The sequence below is a fragment of the Homo sapiens genome, chromosome 9 (assembly GCF_000001405.40).
Source record: "Homo sapiens chromosome 9, GRCh38.p14 Primary Assembly".
In the NCBI taxonomy this organism is placed as follows: Eukaryota; Metazoa; Chordata; class Mammalia; order Primates; family Hominidae; genus Homo; species Homo sapiens.
This window is the reverse complement of record NC_000009.12, coordinates 93968767-93985643: the sequence shown is the minus strand read 5'-3', so window position 1 is coordinate 93985643 and position 16877 is coordinate 93968767. Positions and strand designations below refer to the sequence as shown.

The 16877-nt window shown below is 44.8% G+C and overlaps 1 long non-coding RNA gene across 2 annotated transcripts in view, besides 2 other annotated features; it reads right to left on the bottom strand.

Moving 5' to 3' along the window:
- Positions 1-4989: 4989 nt before the first annotated feature.
- Positions 4990-16877, bottom strand: part of LOC124902216 (uncharacterized) — a 25129-nt gene continuing 13241 nt past the window's right edge. The window contains exons 2-3 of one of the 2 annotated variants that reach the window (XR_007061672.1): positions 8521-15951; positions 4990-5225 (exon numbers count right to left, since the gene is read on the bottom strand). This is a non-coding gene — a long non-coding RNA (uncharacterized LOC124902216). Of the gene's footprint in view, positions 15952-16877 lie in introns of both variants that reach the window. The other variant, XR_007061671.1, reaches the window with a different exon arrangement.
- Positions 5618-6117: an enhancer, noted in NCBI's record as "H3K4me1 hESC enhancer chr9:96741809-96742308 (GRCh37/hg19 assembly coordinates)". NCBI's record gives its function as "activates a minimal SCP1, AML or CMV promoter by ChIP-STARR-seq in naive H9 embryonic stem cells {active_cell/tissue: H9 hESC(naive)}" and the evidence as "EXISTENCE:reporter gene assay evidence [ECO:0000049][PMID:30033119]".
- Positions 16405-16877: part of an enhancer, noted in NCBI's record as "H3K4me1 hESC enhancer chr9:96730989-96731521 (GRCh37/hg19 assembly coordinates)", that runs on past the window's edge. NCBI's record gives its function as "activates a minimal SCP1, AML or CMV promoter by ChIP-STARR-seq in naive H9 embryonic stem cells {active_cell/tissue: H9 hESC(naive)}" and the evidence as "EXISTENCE:reporter gene assay evidence [ECO:0000049][PMID:30033119]".

Sequence of the window (16877 nt, the reverse complement as noted above, 5' to 3'; positions counted from 1 at the left end):
GTTTTGGATATTTTATCTGGTTTTCTGGTTTTTTTTTTTTTTTTTGATAGCTGACAGCAATTCCCATAGCATTTACTCTGTTATGGAGAGAAGTGGAGACATCCATTGAGTTCTTAATTTGAGTTATTATAGTTTTCAATTCTAGAATTTTCATTTGATTATTTTTAATAGTTACCAGTTCTCTAAAAAAATTAAGCAGTTTCTTATTTGATGTATTGATGATATGATATATGAAACATAATTATTTTAAAGTACATGTCTGGTAATTCCAATATCTGGCCCTTCTATGCGTCTGTCTTTGGTCTTACTTTTTTCTCTCAAATTTTGGTCAGTTCTTGCCTTTTTGAATGCCAGCCTAACTTTGATTGAGTGTCAGACTGTGGTTTAAAAATCACAGAGGGAACGTCTCAAAAGACGTTGGATTCTGTCTCATACAGAGAGGATTTGTCTTTGCTTCTGGCAGGAAGTTAATGAGAGGCAGATCACCTTAATCAAACAAAAGGCTGAGCTGATTTAAAGCTGGCTTTGGTCCTTGTAAGAGCTGATATTCTTCCTGTTTGCCTACCTGAGAGCCTGGATGTTTGACAGGGCCTTTTCTGTTTGGCTGACTTTGCATGACAATTATTGTCCCCTAGGCCAATGCCACCACCTACAATCTTGCTCAGCTTCTAGGCCTCTCAGCTACAACAGCATTTGTTACTGGCAAATGTCTTGAGGAGAAAATATACCAGTTATCAAGCTCCCCTCTCTGGGCTTGCTGTCTCTCTGCAATGCTGTCAAAAATATATTTATTTATATTTTGTCCAGCTTTCCTAGTTGTTCTTGGTGTTAATTTGAAACAAGCTAGTCCACCATTGCAGGAAATAAAGCTCAGTCTTAATTTCTTTTTAGTAATACGTATTTTCAAAATTTCAACTTTTATTTCAGATTCAGGGGGCACATGTGCAAATTTGTTACAGGGTATATTATGTGAGGCTGAGTTTTGGGGTATGATTGAATCCATCACCCAATTAGTGAACATAGAACCCAATAGGTAGTTTTTCAACCCTTGCTCCCTCCCCACCTCCCCCTTTCTTATAATCCTGTGTCTATTGTTCCCATCTTTATGTCCATGTGTACCCAATATTTAGCTCCCACTTATAAGTGAGAACATGCAGTATTTGGTTTTCTGTTTCTGCATTAATTTGCTTAGGATAGTGGCCTTCAGCTGCACCCGTGTTGCGGCATGATTTCATTCCTTCTTATGGCTGTGTAGTATTCTATCCTGTATATGTATCACATTTTCTTTATCCAATCTGCCATTGATGGGCCCTAGGTTAATTCCATGCCCTTGTTTTTATTGCAAATAATGCTACAATGAACATATGAGTACATGTGTCTTTTTGGTAGAATGGTTTATTTTACTTTGGGTATATACCCAGTAATGGGATTGCTAAGTCAGATAAGAGTTTTATTTTTAGTTTTTTTAAGGAATCTTCAAACTGCTTTCCACAGTAGCTGAACTAATTTACATTTTCCTCAACAGTGTATATGCATTCCCTTTTCTCCATAGCCTCATCAACATAATATCTTTTGACTTTTTAATAGTAGCCATTCTGACTGGTTTGAGATAATATCTCACTGTGGTTTTGATTTGCATTTCTCTGATGATTAGTGAGGTTGAGCATTTTTTTTCTTATGTTTGTTGGCTGCTTGTATGTCTTCTTTTGAGAAATGTCTGTTTCCTTTGCTCACTTTTTAATGGGGCTATTGTTTTTTGCTTGTTTGTGTATATTCCTTATAGATTCTTGATATGAGACCGTTGTCTGACGCATAGTTTGTGAATATTTTCTCTCATGCTGTAGGTTGTCAGTTTACTAAATTGATAATTTCTTTTGCCATGCAGAAGCTCTTTAGTTTAATTAGGTCTCATCTGTCTATTTTTGTTTTTGTTGCAAATGCTTTTGAGAACTTAGTCATAAATTATGTCCCAAGGCCAATGTCTAGAAGGGTATTTCCTAGGTTTTCTTATAGGATTTTAATCTTTTTATGTATTACATTTAGGCATTTTATCCATCTTGAGTTAATTTTTGTATATGGTGGCATGTAGTTGTTCTATTTTTATTCTTCTGCATGTAGTAAGCCAGTTATTCCAGCACCATTTATTAAATAGGGAGTCCTTTCTTCATTGCTTATTTTTGTCAACTTTGTCAAAGATCAGTTGGTTATAAGGGTTCAGTTTTATTTCTGGGTTCCTATTCTGTTCTGCTGGTTTATGTGTCTGGTTTTTTGTACCAGTACCATGCTGTTTTGGTTACTGTAGCCTTGTAGGATACTTCGAAGTTGGGTAATATGATGCCTCTCACTTCATTCTTTTGGCTTAGGATTGCTTTGGCTATTCAGGCTCTGTTTTAGTACCATATGAATTTTAGAGTAGTTTTTTTCTAATTCTGTGAAAAAATGGAAAAAATGACATTGGTAGTTTGATAGGAATAACATTGAATCTGTAGATTGCTTTGGCTTTATGGACATTTTAGTAATATTGATTCTCCCAATCCATGAGCATGGAATGTTCTTTCATTTGTTTGTGTCACCTGTGATTTCTTTTAGCAGTGTTTTGTAGTTCTACTTGTATAGGTCTTTCACCTCCTTGGTAAGATATATTCCTAGATATATTAGTTCATTTTCATGCTACTGATAAAGACATACCTGAAACTGGGAACAAAAAGAGGTTTAATTGGATTTAGAGTTCCACATGGCTGGGGAAGCCTAAGAATCATGGTGGGAAGTGAAAGGCACTTCTTACATGGCAGTGGCAAGAGAAAAATGAGCCAGAAGCAAAAGCAGAAACCCCTGATAAACCCATTAGATCTCATGAGACTTTTTCACTGTCACGAGAATAACACGGGAAAGACCAGCCCCCATGATTCAATTACCTCCCCCTGGGTTCCTCCCACAACACATGTGAATTCTGGGAGATACAGTTCAAGTTGAGATTTGGATGGGGACACAGCCAAACCATATCACTAGATATTTTATTTTTTGTGGCTAGTGTAAATGGAATTGCATTCTTGATTTGACTCTCAGCTTGAACATATTGGTGTACTGAAATGCTACTGATCTTTGAATATTGATTTTGTATCCTGAAACTTTACTAAAGTTATTTATTAGGTCTTGGAGCATTTTGATGGAGTCTTTAGGGTTTTCTAGGCATAGTGTTATTTCACCAGCAAAGAGACGTCATTTGACTTCTTTTCCTATTTGGATGCCTCTTATTTCTTTCTTTTGTTGATTTCTCTGGCTAGGACTTCCAGTACTATATTGAATAGGGGTGGTGAGAGTGGGCATTCTTGTCTTTTTCCAGTTCTTAAGAGGAATGCTTCCAGCTTTTGCCCATTTAATATGATGTTGGTTGTAGGTTTGTCATAGATGGCTCTTACTATCTTGAGGTACGTTCCTTCAATGCCTAGTTTATTGAGGGTTTTATCATGAAGGGATACTGGGATTTATTGAAAGCTTTTTCTTCATCTGTTGAGATGATGATATGGTTTTTGTTTTTAATTCTGTTTATGTGGTGAATCACATTTATTGATTTGTGTATGTTGAACTAACCTTGCATCCCGGGAATAAAGTCTACTTGGTCATGATGAATTAACTTTTTGATATGCTACTGGATTCAGTTTTCTAGTATTTTGTTGAGGATTTTTGTGCCTATGTTCATCAGAGATATTGGACTGTAGTTTTTGTTTATTGTGTCTTTGCCAACTTTTGGTATCAAGATGATGCCAGTTTCATAGAATGAGTTAGGGAGGAATCCCTCTGTATTAGTCTGTTCTCCCATTGCTGTAAAGAAATACCTGAGACTGGGTAATTTATAAAGAAAAGAGGTTTAATTGGATCATGGTTCTGCAGTTTGTACAGGAAGTATAGTGGCTTCTGCTTCTGGGGAGGCCTCAAAAAGCTTCCAATCATGGCAGAAGGCAAAGAAGGAATGAAGCACTCCACATGGCCAGAGCAGTAGGAAGAGAAGAAAGGGGAGGTGCCACACACTTTTAAACAACCAGATATCATGAGAACTCACTCACTCTTGTGACCACAGCACCAAGGGGGGATGATGTTAAACCATGAGAAACTGCCATGATCTAATCACCTCCCACCAGGCTCTACCACCAGCGTTGGGGATTACATTTAAACATGAAATTTGGGTAGGGATACAGATCCAAACCATATTACCCTCCTTCTTGATTTTTTGGAAAAGTTTCAGTTGGATTGGTACCAGCTGTTCTTTGTACGTGTGGTAGAATTTGTCTGTGAATTCACCTGGTGCAGGGCTCTTTTTGTTGGTAGGTCTTTTATTACTGATTCCATCTTGGAACTCATTATTGGTCTGTTCAGGGTTTCAATTTCTTCCTGATTTAATCTTGGGAGGTTGTATGTTGCCAGGAATTTATCAATTTTCTTTTAGTAATATTTTTTTTGTGCTGGAGAGGGCAAAGGTATACCCCATAATGAAATACATGCAACCAAAATCTTCCCTGTATTCAAGGCTAACTTTAAATTTTTGAACATCAAGACCTCAAACAAGGAACAGACCTGTGCCTAAATAACTATAGTATACACACCCTTCAATAAAGCAGATGAAAATCTGAATCCTTAGTTCAGAATCCCTGAACTAAGAAGATTTCAGGCAGAAGAAATTTCCCACCATGATACATGCAAATACCTTATCGGAAAAGGGCATGTTCACCTCTGATACCACACCTACTGTATTTAAACCTCACAGCAACTCCACGAAATAAGTTTCATCAGTAATGCCATTTTACAGAAAAGGAAATTGAGGCATAGAGAAGTGAGGTGAAATAATTTGCTTGAAATCACCAAAACAACAAAGTAGCATTGCAGAAATTTTATAGCCAAACTAGTCTGAGTTTGACACTACCACTTATTAATGATATAATCACGTATTAGTTTCCGGTGGCTGCTGTAATGATCTACCACAAACTGGGCAGCTTAGAACCACAGAGTGAGTTTATTCTTTTACAACTCTGGAGGCCAGAAGTCTGAAATGAAAGCACCAGCAGGGCTGTGCCCCTTCTGCAGGGTCCAGGGCAGGATGGATCCCACTCTTTCTCCTTAGCTCCTGGTGGCTGCTGGCACTCCTGGGCATGACCTGGCTTGCAGCTTCATAACTCCATTGTCACATGGCGTTCCCCCCGTGTGTCTCTCCTTATGTGGCACTTTTCTTTCTGATAAGGATACCATTCATATTGGATTAGAGCCCACCCGAATGTCCTCATCTTAACTTGATTACATCTGTAAGACCCTATTTCCAAATAAGGTCATATTCACAGCTACTAGGAATTAAGACATCAGCCTATCTTCAGAGCAGATTACGATTCAGCCCATATCAAGCACCACAGAGCCTTGATAATAGGTCTCCCCTCCCTAAATCTCACATCACTCATCTACGTTCACAGTCCCTTGGGGCACCTCCTGTGCCAGACCCCACAGCCAGCCAAGTGCAGTCCCTGCCTCCATGAGGTTTTGGTCAAATGGGAGGATGCACATTAAATGAGTAACGCTCAAGGAAACGTGCACATGCAGACTGTGGTGCATGCTGTGAAGGAATATACATGGGACAGAAAACCTGCCCTTTGGACTGGGGTCTAGAAAGCCTGCCCTGAGGAACTCACACTCCAGCTGAGATAGGGAGGCCCTGCCAAGGGAGAAATGCAGGCAGGAGGGGAGAGCAGATGCACATTCTCAGGGAGGGAAAGAGCTGCTGACTAGAGGGCAAGAAGGGGCCTGCATGGCCGGAGCTTGGGGACAAGAGGAGGGGTGCCGCAGGGGAGGCAGCTAGGCCTGTGGCCAGTAGGAGAGAATGCTCTTGGAAGCTAGAAGAGGCTTTTAAACTTGGAGCAACAGGATGCAGACCAGGATTTAGGGAAATGGGATGTGGAGCAGAGTGGAGACGAGAGTAAGTGGGCTGTTGTGGAGGCTGCAGGAGTTCAGGGAAGGGTGGACTGGGACAGCAGAGTGAGTATGGGGGCCAGGAGGGAGTTTGAGGTGACAGCCACATGGGTTGTAAGGGGGCTTAACAGGAGGAGCAGCCTGCAGGTCACTGGGGATCCCGAGGAAGCACTTGGTCAGTGGTCACCCCTTGTTCTAGATCTGATGCCAATGAGCTGGGGGCCTCGGCCAAGGGACTGCACCTAATGGGGCTGAGTTCCACTGACTGTCACACCACTTTGCATTGGGCCTGGCATTGGGGGAGCCCTTGTACCTGCTGCACCCACTTGCCCTCCGTACCATCACCAGATGGCCTCCAGAGTGCTGTTATCTGTGTGCACAGTGGGGAGGGCCTGGGGTCCACTTGAGCCCTTGCCCTAGTGCTGCACGAATGAAATATTCCTCCTTATTCCTGGAGGCCAGTGCTTTCCAGACTTGGCTGACTATAAATGTCACTCTAGCTACTTGTGGAAAATGCAGACTCCCTGGGTCCCCCACTGGATGTTCTGAGTGGAAGATTTGGGAATCCATATATCCAGCCAGCATCCTAAGGGTTCTTACGAGAAGGCCTTCTCCTAGCCTGAGATGGCCTCACTGCTGCACAAAGTGATATCCCTTGGTGAAACTCACTGTGGCCAAAGCCGGGTGATCATCTGTGTGGCTGGTTGATTTGTGTCTTTTCAGCTGACAGTACCCCAGGGAAGCAGCACCACCCTGTCTCACTTGTGTGTCCTGGTGACTGCAGATGAGCTCATGAGAGCACGAATGAATGAATGGCTTCCCAATGAAGCATGTCCCTCAGGGCAGAGTAAGGAAGAGAGGTGGTGACAATGGGCTCAGGACCAGGAGAGGGTGAGCTGGGAGGGTGCTGTCAGGAACAATGTTGTAAATATCAGGACCTGGAGAAGACTTAAAGCAACATTGCTCAGGCTTGCATCATGCACTGTTTGGCACATGTGGGGCAGAGAAGCTCTGGGATAGAGCTGAATGCTCTGGGGCATGGGGTTCCCCCTGTCTGGGTTGGGGCAGGGAGCATGGGAGCAGCTTAAGGTGAGTACATACTAGAAGGATGAGGAGGAATTTTCCAGGCGAAGGCATGCAGGATGGGCATTGCCCTGGCCCAGGGAATAGTCTGGACAAAAGTTCAGAGGAGGGAAGGAAGGAGCATGACAGCTAGGAACTTCAGCTTGCTCGATGGTAGGACTGGGACCCCTGCCACCCACAATTTTTCTTTTTGCCTTTTATTATGCAAATTTTCAAACAGAGAAAAGTGAAAAGAATAGTACCATGAACAGTCATCTCTACCTAGGTTTAATAATTGTTAATAGTTTGCTTTTTCTCTTTTTCTGTTTTGCAGAGCCATCTTAAATTAATTATGGACATTGAAACCCTTCACTTTTAAACATAACCCCGATTATCACAGCTTAAAAAATTAGCAGTAAAACCTGAAGAGCACTCCTACCTGGTTCTTTTGGTTAAGGCCTGGCAGGAAGCAGGTGGTGTGCTGGAGCCAGGCCATCAGGGAGAGAAGAGTAAAGGACAATTGACAAGGATGGACAATTAGGGAAATAGTTGTCACCAGCTATGGGCTTGCAGGGCAAGAGAAAAAGTTGGCTGGAATTCAGAGAAGCAGCTGGATGGAGCCTGCCAGCCGCCTGCCTGGAGCAGTGGCTTTTGGTGGAGGCACAAAATCCACCTGAGCACCTGCGAGTGCAAGAGAAATAAACCCCCATCCTCTCCGTCTCCCAGGGGCTGCCCTCCTCCAGGTGCACCCATCAGCCAACCCACTGGAAACAAGGCTTCTGCTAACTAAGGTTGAACAATGGTGCCAACATCTCAGTGGCTTCCAGCAGCATCTGTTCATTCTTTCCCTGCTTCCATGTTGACTGTGGATTGGGCAGTCCTCTTGTCTGGGACACACCAAGACCCACACCTCGGGTCTTAAAGCTTCTGTTAGGAAGTGGTGCCCATCAATTACACTCATATCCCACTGGCCAAAGCAACACACACAACCCAGCCAGCTGTCAGCAGGACCAGAGGTAAGACCCTTTCTCATGGCAATAGGTAGGGTTGTAAATTCTGAGTGTGAGGAGAAATGAATATTTGGAAAAATACAATTTGTTCAGCTGGGAGCCTGATGATGTATTTTATAGAGGTCAGCTCCAGGGCGCAGAGCAGAAGGAAGGAGGAGAGTGGGCCTGGTGGAGAAGAAGGAGATCCAGTGTAGTGATTCAAGCTCAGCTTCCCTCGTTGCATTTGTTAAAGCCAGTCTCCAGTTAGGGACCATGCATTGTGTTTAGCTATTATTTCTCTATGGCCTTTCAGTCTAAAACAGGGCACACCTTTTTCATGCCACTGACTTGTAGAAGAAACGGGGCTGGGTTCCTTGGAGAATGTCACCTATTCTAGCTTTTTCTGATGGTTCTCACCTCTCTACAACTGGAACAAGTGAGTCAGAGCAGCTCGATTTGCATGGAGAAGCAGACAGGAAATGATGGGAACATTCTCAGCTCCTGTCTTCCCCTGACTCACCTGGTGCAGGTTACACCTGAGATCCCCTCAGCCTGGAATGAAGTCCAGTGGTAGGGACGGCCAGCTGTCCACCAGCACTGGGCTTCCCCTGCCCCAGCAGGAGGTGGTTGCTGGGCGGCAGCTGCCCAGCCCCTTCACATCCACGTTTGGCTGCATGGCTACAAATGGATAATGGAATGGGAGAAGTAATGCATCTTGCTTTTGCAGTGAGGTGCTCTTTCCATCCTTTCTCTCCCCTCTGTACCAGTTTCCTAGGGCCACCATAACAAGTATCACAGATTGGCAGTGGTGGGGAGCTTAAACAACAGACATTTATTGTCTCACAGTTCTGGGGGACAGAGCCTAAGGTCGAAGTGTTGGCAGGGTTGGTTTCTCCTATGGCCTCTCTCATTGACTTGCAGATGGTATCTTCTCCCTGTGTCCTCACATGGTCATCCCTCTGTGCAAGTGTCCTCATCTCCTCTTCTGATAAGGACACTGGCCATTTTGCACTGGGGCCTGCCCTAAAGGCCTCATATTATCCTATTCAACCCTGTAAAGGCCCTATCTCCAAATATAGTCTCATTCTGAGGTGCTTGGACTTAGGGCTTTGTCATGAATTTTGGGGGAATACTATTCAGCTCATCACAGCCTCCTACCTCCTAGACATAGAGGACTCTGAGGGCCCAGAGGATGGAGGTACTTACTGCAAGATGGAACCAGCCTGAATTCCTAAGTCACTGCATGGTGAAAACCCTGCACAGATCAGCAGCATCCATATCAGACAAGCACATAAATGAAACATAAACTGCTATCGGGTTTGTTAAAGCACGTAGCAATACTCTAGCCATTAGAAATAAACTGCTGACTAGGCAGGGGATGTAGGATCAGACACAGGAGGGGAAAGACACTGCCCAGGAAATATGATAACAGGCTGAGGAACAAAGCAGTGATTCTGGGCCTGGAGTAAGGTCTTTGCTAGAGGACATCGATCCTAGGATGATAAGATTCCCAGTTAAAAGGAAGCCAGGGGATCTCTACTGGTGCCTTCCCAGGGCTGTCAGAGCACCCAGAGCTTACAGGGAATGTGGCTGGTGCTGCTGGTGACTCACCCAATAATGCCAGGGCTGGCAGGGGCCTTGAGAACTCTTGAATCCAGCCTTCCTGTCACAGACAGGGAAACCGAGGTTCCGCCGTGAAGCAGCTTTGCTAATGCCACAAAGCTGCAAAGTGGCATTCGGGGCTCTAGGGCTTGTGTGGCCCTGAATTTTCCTTGTGTGGGAGGAGACCAGTAATGTGTATCTGTGGCAATGATGACACAGGGCCATGGGGACTGAGCTCATCGTGGCAGTGGAGGCAGGCATCGCCAGGCACCATTCACACACAAGGAGCCTGAGCCCACCAAGGGAACACTGTGCGCTGAGCACCAGCTTTTGCACCCAGGGCTGCTCCTGGGGCTCCCACTGGCCCAGGCCTGATGGTTTCTGGCCCACGTGGCTTCTCCCCAGGCATCCATGGGTTTTGTGTCCCAAATCATCTAAAGTTACCCCTGTCGGCATGAAGACTGTTGAGTTTTCTTTTTGGGGGGATAAAGCTTTCCAACATGTGTTTCCTTCTAAGAACCAAATGCAGAGTGAGTTTTTCCTCATGACTCAAGATCGTGTGGGCCTCTGCATTTTTACCACTCAGGTCCAGAGGCGCAGGGGCGGGGCACTGGGCAGAGCCAGGGTCAGACCCTGGTGCCAGGGAAGATCATTCTGGTTAACACGGACAATTGCACCCACAGTAGCATCTGGCAGATCTGACAGTCCACGTGGACCTCTATCCCATCCTCCCTTCAGTGCACTGCAAAATTTTTTAATAATAATTATGAAATGACATGAGTAACAATCATAATCATAATAATGGCAAGCAAGGAACTGGAATGGTAAACTTTTACTGAACTTCATGCCAGTAAAATAATTAAATAAATAATACTATTAGAGAAGGAATAGAAAAAAGCCTAATGGATTAGTCCTTTCAATGTACAATCATGTACTCTCTAAAGGGGGAAAGCCTTCAACCCATATATTGGTCTGTTATGGTCTAGTAACAAATAAAAATTAAACAAGCAGCAGAGTTTTAAAAGAAATGGCTGAGCTCAGTGGCTCATGCCTGTAATCCCAGCACTTTGGGAGGCCAAGGCAGGCAGATCACCTGAGGTCTGGAGTTCAAGACCAGCCTGACCAACATGGCAAAACACCGTCTCTATTAAAAATATAAAAATTAGCCAGGCATGGTGATGGGCACTTGTAATTCCAGCTACTCGGGAGGCTGAGGCAGGAGAATCGTTTGAACCTGGGAGGCGGAGGTTGCAGTGAGCCGAGATCACCACCACTGCACTCCAGCCTGGGTGACAGAGCAAGATTGTGTCTCAAAAAAATAAATAAATAAAAATAAATAAAACAATTATACATTTCAATTTCAAAATTTCAAATTCAGTAAAATATTTCATGTACAAAACAATTTGTACTCATGAGCAAAACTATTACATCTGTAATTGGCACTGTTTCACTGTTTGTTTTGGGGAATTATTCTTGTCCCTTTAAAAAATCTTTTTGTTTTGAATATAGATTGACAGGAAGTTGCACAGGTGACAGAGAGAGGTCCATATACCTTTCACCCCCCCCCCCCCCCCCCGTGGCCCCATTGGGGCATGCTGGGTTAATTAGCTATTGTTAATCGAAATTGAAAGCAGGAGGTTGGCTTTGGTACTGTGTGTTGTTCTATGCCATTTTATCACGTGCAGATTTGTGTAACCACCACTGAGTTCAAGATTCAGAACTGGAGCCAATGTTGGGGTTCTGCCAGCTGCTAAGTATGTCTTAGTTTGCCAATTATGCATACTGGCACTGGAAAAATGACCACAGGATAAGCCTGGGAACCCACTGAACCCACTGTAAGTCAGACCTGAGCTAAAACTCCATTAATTACCTGACCTCCATAAGCCTTTACTTTAACTGGAGGACCACAGTGATATTTTGGGTTCCCTGGAATCAACATCAGCTAAGAGCCAATGTCCAGTAGTCCCTGAAATGTCTGATAATTTCCCTTTCCCCAATGCAATGGTAAAAGGCCAGAGGTCTCCCTGGGGAAGGATGGGAGAAAGATTCACAGCATAAATTGTTGGCAATGTAGTGGGGTCCTTCCTCAAGGGGACCTGGCCTCCCCTTCATTCAGGGGGTTCTGGGTCTGTAAACTGGCTCAAATCTGGGAATTGATTGAGGGGCCATGATTCTCTGTTTTTATAATTCAAATTAGTCTTTTGTCAATTTGATCAAGAAGTTTTCTGCTTACATAAAGTAGGAATTCAGTAGGCTTTCTATCAATTTCACCTCTAAAAACACCATGATTAATTAGCCAATACCAGAGCTCTACATGATTCAGACTATTGTGATTGCTGCTTTGCTGCTTCTGTCCATTACAGTAGCTATGCCCACCTTGCCTTTGACGGTTGAGTGCCGCCACTTGGCCCCTGCCACCTTGGGATCCAATTATTCCCACTGTATTTAAATTTTGTAGTTGAGTGACTGTGTTTCCCACTGTTAGATCTGACATACAGAAAAGAGCAATTAAAGGGCTCTTCAAAGGTGCAGGTGCTGGCCTCACAAATCTATTTTGCAAGGCATCAGTCAAGTGTATATCTTCTGGACCCTCATAGCTGGGATGATTAGGTCTAACGTGACTAATCCAGTCCATCATCTCAACCTCCCTAAGCCTTTGGATCCCTTCCTCTACATTAAACCAAGGGAGATCAGGCATTTCTAGCTCACTCACAGTGGGCCATCTTTTAATCCATATTTCAGCTAACCAAGCAAATAAACTATTAGAACCTTTTTTAACTCCCCAAGCTGCAACATTAAATGCAGAGTGATATGGTTTGGCTGTGCCCCCACGCTAATCTCAACTTGAATTTTATCTCTAAGAATTCCCATGTGTTGTGGGAGGGACCCGGTGGGAGGTAATTGAATCATGGGGCCTGGTCTTTCCCATGCTATTCTCATGATAGTGAATAAGTCTCACAAGATCTGATGGGTTTATCAGGGGTTTCCGCTTTTGCTTCTTCCTCATTTTTCTCTTGCTGCTGCCATGTAAGAAGTGCCTTCCACCTTCTGCCATGATTCTGAGGCCTCCCCAGCCATGTGGAACTGTAAGTTCAATTAAACCTCTTTTTGTTCCCAGTTTCATGTATGTCTTTACCAGCAGAGTGAAAACAGACTAATACAGTAAATTGGTACCAGAAGCAGGGTGTTGCTGAAATGATACCCAAAAATGTGGAAGCGACTTTGGAACTGGGTAATAGGCAGAGATTGGAACAGTTTGGAGGGCTCAGAAGAAGACAGGAAAATGTGGGAAACTCTGGAACTTCCTAGAGACTTGTTGAATGGCTTTGCCTAAAATGATGTTAGCGATATGGACAATAAAATCCAGGCTGAGGTGGTCTCATATGGAGATGAGGAACTTGTTGGGAACTGGAGCAAAGGTGACTCTTGTTATGTTTTAGCAAAGAGACTGGTGGCATTTTGCCCCTGTCCTAGAGATTTGTGGAACTTTGAACTTGAGAGAGATGATTTAGGGTACCTGGTGGAAGAAATTTCTAAGCAGCAAAGCATTCAAGAGGTGACTTGGGTGTTGTTAAAGGCATTCAGTTTTATAAGGGAAGCAGAGCATAAAAGTTTGGAAAATTTGCAGCCTGACTATGTGATAGAAAAGAAAAATCCATTTTCTGGGGGAGAAATTCAAGCTCGCTGCAGAAATTTGCATAAGCAGCAAGGAGCCTAATGTTAATTCCCAAGACCATGGGGAAAATGTCTCCAGGCCATATCAGAGAACTTCATGGCAGCCCCTCCCATCACAGGTGTGGAGGCCCAGGATAAAAAAGTGGTTTTGTGGATGGGTCCAGGGTCCCCATGCTGTGTGCAACCTAGGGACTTGGTGTCCTGTGTCCCAGCTGCTCCAGTAGTTGTTGAAAGGAGCCAACGTACAGCCCAGGCTGTGGGTTCAGAGGATGGAAGCCCTAAGCCTTGGCAGCTTCCATTATGTTCCTTGGCAGTGTTGAGCCTGCAGGTGCACAAAAGTCAAGAATTGAGGTTTGGGAACCTCCACCTAGATTCTAGAAGATGTATAGAAACATGTGGATGCCCAGGCAAAAGTTTGCTGCAGGGGTGGAGCCCTCATGGAGAACCTCTGCTAGGGCAGTGTGGAAGGGAAATGTGGAGTTGGAGTCCCCACACAGAGTCCCTACTGGTGCACTGCCTAGTGGAGCTATGAGAAGAGGGCCACCGTCCTCCAGACCCCAGAATGGTAGATTCACTGCCCTGTGCATCTGGAAAAGCCGCAGACACTCAATGCCTGCCCATGAAAGCAGCCAGGAGGGAGACTGTACCCTGCAAAGCCACAGGGGCGGAGCTGCCCAAGACCATGGGATCCCACCTCTTGCATCAGCGTGACCTGGATGTGAGGCCTGGAGTCAAAGGAGATCATTTTGGAGCTTTAAAATTTGACTGCCCCACTGGATTTTGGACTTGCATGGGCCCTGTAGCCCCTTTGTTTTGGCCAATTTTTCCCATTTGGAATGGCTGTATTTACCCAATACCTGTACCCCCATTGTATCTAGGAAGTAACTAGCTTGCTTTTGATTTCACAGGCTCATAGGTGGAAGGGACTTGTTTTGTCTCAGATGAGATGTTGGACTGTGGACTTTTGAGTTAATGCTGAAATGAGTTAAGACTTTGGGGGACTGTTGGGAAGGCATGGATGGTTTTGGAATGTGAGGACATGAGATTTGGGAGGGATCGGGGTGGAGTGATATGGTTTGGCTGTGCCCCTACCCAAATCTCAACTTGAGGTTTATCTCCCAAAATTCCCATGTGTTGTGGGAGGGACCCAGTAGGAGGTAATTGAATCATGGGGGCCAGTCTTTCCTGTGCTATTCTCATGTTAGTGAATAAGTCTCATGAAATCTGATGGGTTTATCAGAGGTTTCTGCTTTTGCTTCTTCCTCATTTTTCTTTTGCTGCTGCCACGTAAGAAATGCCTTCTACTGCCCACTATGATTCTGAGGCTTTCCTAGCCATGTGGAACTGTAAGTTCAATTAGACCTCTTTTTGTTCCCAGTTTTGTGTATGTCTTTATCAGCAGCATGAAAACAGACTAATACACCGAGTCCCTACTTAGTGGGCCCAAATCAGCAAATTCAGCCTGATCCAACTCTGTGTTCTTCCCACTATTATCCCACACCCTTAATACCCATCCCCATGCCTGTTCTCCAGATTTCTGTTTGTATAAATTAGAAAACCAAGCAGTTCTTTTTGAGTGTAGCATACCTCCTCATGGGTCACACTCTAAATCTCACCTCTAGGGGCCTGCCAGGACTTTAGTCTAGTTATAGGTCTGGAAGCAAACAGGGATGTTGGGGGTGGCTCCCGAGGAGAATCAACATTATCTTGCCTGGAAACTGCCTCAGGGGAGGCCATCACTGTTGCTGCAGGCTGTACAGGGTTTATCTCCTCAGACAAAGGTGGAAAGGCTGATGGCAGCATGAGTTGGGGAGGGGATGTTGCCACTACTGGGGATGGGGAAGCTATTTCTTCTGGCAAAAAAGTTTCATCAGAGTTTACAAACTCAGTGTCCCCAGCTTCATCAGGGTCCTCCCACATGTCCCCATTCCAAGTTGCAGGATCCCATTCTTTTCCAATCAATGCCCTCACTTTAACAGGAGACACCTGGTGAGGCTGTACATGCGTCTTTCATTGCTGGTCAGCCACTTGCAAGATAAGAGTTTATATCTGTTTTTCCACAATTTCAGCTCTTTCTCTACAAGAGATAAGACTCTTACTCAGGGCAATCTTAGCAGATTTGAGGCTCAGTATCTGCTTCTGAACCCGGGAGACAGAATCCCTGAATTCATCATTTTCTTTCATCACTTTGTCCTCTGAACTTAGGAGCAACCAACCAGCTTCCTTATGTTCCTTGGTTCTCCACATATGGTCAAAGGTATTATGTATAGAGTCACTAAACTCCTTGCCTCTCATGAATGAAGAATCAGGAGTGTCAAATGCATTTATTTTGCCTAATTCTCTAAACAGTTCGTGCCAAGGACTATTAGCGTTCTCCATACTATTAGAAGTAGGGTCGGCTGGGTGCGGTGGCTCACTCCTGTAATCCCAGCACTTTGGGAGGCAGAGGCGGGCAGATCATGAGGTCAGGAGGTCGAGACCATCCTGGCTAACACAGTGAAACCCCATCTCTACTACAAATACAAAAAATTAGCTGGGCATGCTGGCACGCACCTGTAGTCCCAGCTACTCGGGAGGCTGAGGTAGGAGAATCTCTTGAACCCAGGAGGTGGAGTTTGTAGTGAGCCGAGATCGTGCCACTGTACCCAGTCTGGGTGACAGAGCAAGACTCCATCTAAAAAAAAAGAAAAGAAAAAGAAAAAAAAGAAATAGGGTCTTTAGCATAGTCATATTAAGCAGCCAACTCCAGAAACCCCAAAACCAACGAAATAACCCCATCCTTAATATTCTGTTCCTCTAGAACCACTCCTGGTATGAAAATCTGTATTAGTCAGGGTTTGCTAGAGGGACAGAACTAACTAATTAATTAATATTAAGCTAATTGATTAAACTAATTAATCAATCAAACTAATTAACCTAATTAATATTAATTAATTAAACTAATTAATTAAACAAAGAGCAACCAGCCTCCTCCCCCAGCCCCAGCCCACACCTCACCCCTCACCGGGCTGCATGGATGCTCCAGAAGGCGCAGGCCTCGGGAGCCCCCAACTCGCACCCACCCCAGACGTCAGGCCGCACCCGGTGGCCACGGCCATCTGATTCCTGCCAAAGAGACTCTGGTTCACTTTGCTGCTGGTTAGGGAAGCAAGTGGACCCTGAATGTGCTCCAACTGTGGATGGTATCCTTGGCATATGGGCCGCCGCAGCTGCTGTCCCCACCTCTTGGTGAGGCCTCTGCCCAGGGGTCATCTTCAGACAGGACGGATTATGTGGACCTCTGCTGGAGGCCCAGGGCTCTCTCTGTGGCTTGCAGGACACGCAGCAGACACTGTCCTAGCTCAGATCAAGGGCATTAAGGTAGCACGCATAGCAGCATCAGAGCTTTCCTGGGTGCTTCATTCATTCACTTCATTCGTTCTCACTCCACTGACTGAGGAAAGCCCTGCCAGGGCCAATCACTTCTTCCCATAGAAGCTGAGTCCTCCATTGGAGGGACAAGAAAAGCAAGTATCAAGGAAGCTGAGGCTGTGGGTCTCGGTGCTGGGGCAGCTCTGGCTGACGCTGGTCACGTAGTCCCCTGAAGGAACGGCTGTCAGG